Below are 3,230 nucleotides of genomic sequence, written 5' to 3'. Positions count from 1 at the left end.
AACACTTATGTAAAACACATAACACATATACCCCAAATAATATACTTTTTCTGTGGAAATATAAAAGTGCAAAATTATCTGATACATTGCACACTAATCTAATTTGTAAATAAAGTTAGAATAGTATTTTAAATTCAAACTCATATGAGTTAACCAGGAAGAGGAAGATGTTATTAAGAGGCCTGTTCTGTCCCAGTTATTGGGCTAGGAGTCTCCTTGATATTATTTTATATATTTCTCACAATATTCTATGAAGCATATATTATTACCATGCTTTTATAGAAGAGAAACTAGAGTAAGAGCACTTAATCAGTGGAGTAGAAACTCATCATAGTTGGCCAACTATATAATTTTCTCTCGAGAGCCTAATTTCTCTCTACTTAGTCTACGTGAGCCCTTTTAGACGTAGATACTGCTTTTGTAATGTACATTTGGTTATGTAATTTACTAAACCCACCTAGCCTTAGTTTTCTCATGTGCAATACCACAGGGTTAACTAGTTACGTTATATGATTACTATAACTCTGAAATTCTGAAGCAAATTTTGGTATAATCAAACTAAATAGACATAACGTATTGATCTCAGGTTATTTGTTGCTTCTTTTATTTCAATTGATATTTCTATTGCATCAATCTCTGGGCACATTCAAATCAAAGATATTCAGAGTTCTTTTCATTTTTCTTTGAGGATTACAGAGAATGACGCAGAAATGCTTTTATTCTCAAAAGTGTTAAATACTACTTGTATAAAGCTTGTTTTATTTATTGATACCAACTCCACAAGTATGTATGACGGGGTCATTTAGCATAGTGTAAGCAGAGTTTGAATATGGCTTACTTGAAACTACATTTCCATTGTGAGGAAACTGGACCTTCCTATATGATGGCTCTATCACAACTGATACACACACACACACACACACACACACACACACACAAATTCTAAACCTTGTTTCTACCACATGGCTATGCTTGGGTTCTATGAGAAGTGGCCATGTCATATGTGGCATCCACATTTTGGCTTAAGTTTGTACCAGTTTATTTCATTGTAAACCAAATATTTCTGAGAACGAAGATCTATACTGGGCCTATATTAGTAGAACAAAGAGTAAAGGAAACAAGAAAGTTTTGAGTAGACGGTACTAGAAGAACAAAATGCTAGTGATGTGTACAAGTATGAAGTAGTCAAGAAACTGTCAGAAGTCAAGTTGGTAGGTTACAAGTATGTGCTCATGTGTGTATATTGTGCATGTTGCACACATACAAATACAAAACCAAGGAATGCGAAGGGGAGTGAGGAGGGAAATTAGCAGTGAGTGATGAGATTATCTCTTAGGCCGGGGACCAGGTAATGTAAGCCTAAGGCATTAACTTTGTTATATTCATATGATGTGTTGGTTCTCTTTAATTCTCAACTGCACTTTTCTTAAACGGATACAATTTAAATTATCATGAGCGTTCAGGTACTCCAGTTTATCATCTTATGTCAATGCTATCCATCTTATGTGTATAGTGCTGTGCTTTGTCACTTGGCCATTATCCTACCCATTCGTTTCCTTGAACATATTCTTTTCTATAATAATGAGTCAGTGTCAAGACATCTTGTGGCAAGATCTTGATATATTTTTAACTGGAGCACTCTGTTAAAAAATGAGTCAATGATGAAGGATTATCTTGTACTAAAGAAAAAAAAGCAGAAATGTAATGAATCTGGACTTTGACATGTCGTATATCTTATGCAGGGACACCCAAGAATTGTTGGAGAATGTTGGAAATATGCCAGAAATCATCGTGGTGGGTTGGTGGCCAGGTTGACAAAGATGCATTGTCATTTTACTTTTGGAAAATCCTGCGAGGCTCGCTATGGAGTCTGGCAATAGCAATTACAATTACTGTGCTTCATTTTATTCACTTGGGCAAAATAATGTCATTCCACTTAAAACATACAAAATTGCAAACTAATAATAAAGCTCTCTTAGCCCTTAGAGTGAGGAGTTAACCTGGATAATAAAGTGATGTAAGGCTTAATAAACCTTGTTTCTGGCCAAATCCCAGAGAGAATGAATTTCATGTGACTCAGCTCTATGGAATCAATAATAACTGACTCCTGTTTGGCACTAGTTGAATATGAGGTGCAGACAAGTACTCGTTCAGGTATGTGGATTACCCAGGCTTTCTTTCCCTGCTACCCTCACAATACTTACTTTTGGTTTTTTCTTGACGTCAGATGACTCTCCTTTCGGAGGTGAGCCTTGACTGCTCTGATGTGTGAATATACCTCCTTAACAAGGAAGTCTCACTTATAGATATAAACTAAGCACAATGAAATATTTTAGATATTTATATGACAAATAGCAATAAATCTTGGGCTAATATTTATAAACAGCCAATAACAAGCTTTTTAGTAAATTCTCCACCGGCATTGTATTTAGAGATCTTTTATAAAAGAAAATTGTGGAGCAGCTCTGCTTAAGGCTATCACTTGAAACATCTCATGCCTGTAATCCCAGCACTTTGGGAGGCCGAGGCGGGTGGATCATGAGGTCAGGAGTTCAAGACCAGCCTGGGCAACATGGTGAAACCCCGTCTCTACTAAAAATACAAAAATTAGCCGGGCTTGGTGGTGGGTACCTGTGATCTCAGCTACTCGGGAGGCTGAGGCAGAGAATTGCTTGAACCCGGGAGGCGGAGGTTGCAGTGAGCTGAGATTGCACCTCTGCACTCCAGCCTGGGCAACAGAGTGAGACTCTGTCTCAAAAAAACAAAAAACAAAACAAAATAAAACAATCATGTAAAAAGCCTTTACATTAGTAGGATATTATAGACCTGGAAAATTCATATAGTAGAATTTTGAGGAAAGAACATTGAGACAAAGATTCCACAGAAGACAGCAGTTGCCTAACTAAATTCACCACTTTTTTCAGTCTTGTGAACCCAGTGGTGGCAGGAGGGCAGGTACTTTCTTGTGAGTATCCTGGCATAAACCAGAACTGAGAATATGAACTTATGTAAATAAAACTCTTTAGAGGATGATGTATAAAATTATGCTGATATATTCATGTACAATAAAATGTATGAGAGTTCACCAGTATATTTCCTGTATCATTTGGGAAGCTAGCTTGCCAGAGGGTTATTTAAGTAAGTCTAAAATAAGCATAGGGATAATTAGTTACATGATCCAAATGTGTAATGGCCTCATGCTGTAATATTTGAAGCAGATGAGATTCTTG

At 36.6% G+C, this 3,230-nt stretch overlaps 1 annotated feature.

The window, feature by feature from the left end:
• Window positions 1,532-2,731: an enhancer, noted in NCBI's record as "BRD4-independent group 4 enhancer chr2:147391420-147392619 (GRCh37/hg19 assembly coordinates)". NCBI's record gives its function as "activates an origin of replication core promoter dependent on BRD2, P300/CBP, MED14 and CDK7 cofactors, and independent of BRD4, by STARR-seq in HCT116 cells {active_cell/tissue: HCT116}" and the evidence as "EXISTENCE:reporter gene assay evidence [ECO:0000049][PMID:35650434]".

The sequence above is a fragment of the Homo sapiens genome, chromosome 2 (assembly GCF_000001405.40).
Source record: "Homo sapiens chromosome 2, GRCh38.p14 Primary Assembly".
Classification (NCBI taxonomy): Eukaryota; Metazoa; Chordata; class Mammalia; order Primates; family Hominidae; genus Homo; species Homo sapiens.
Note: the sequence above shows the minus strand (reverse complement) of the source record. Positions and strands in the feature narration are given on the sequence as shown.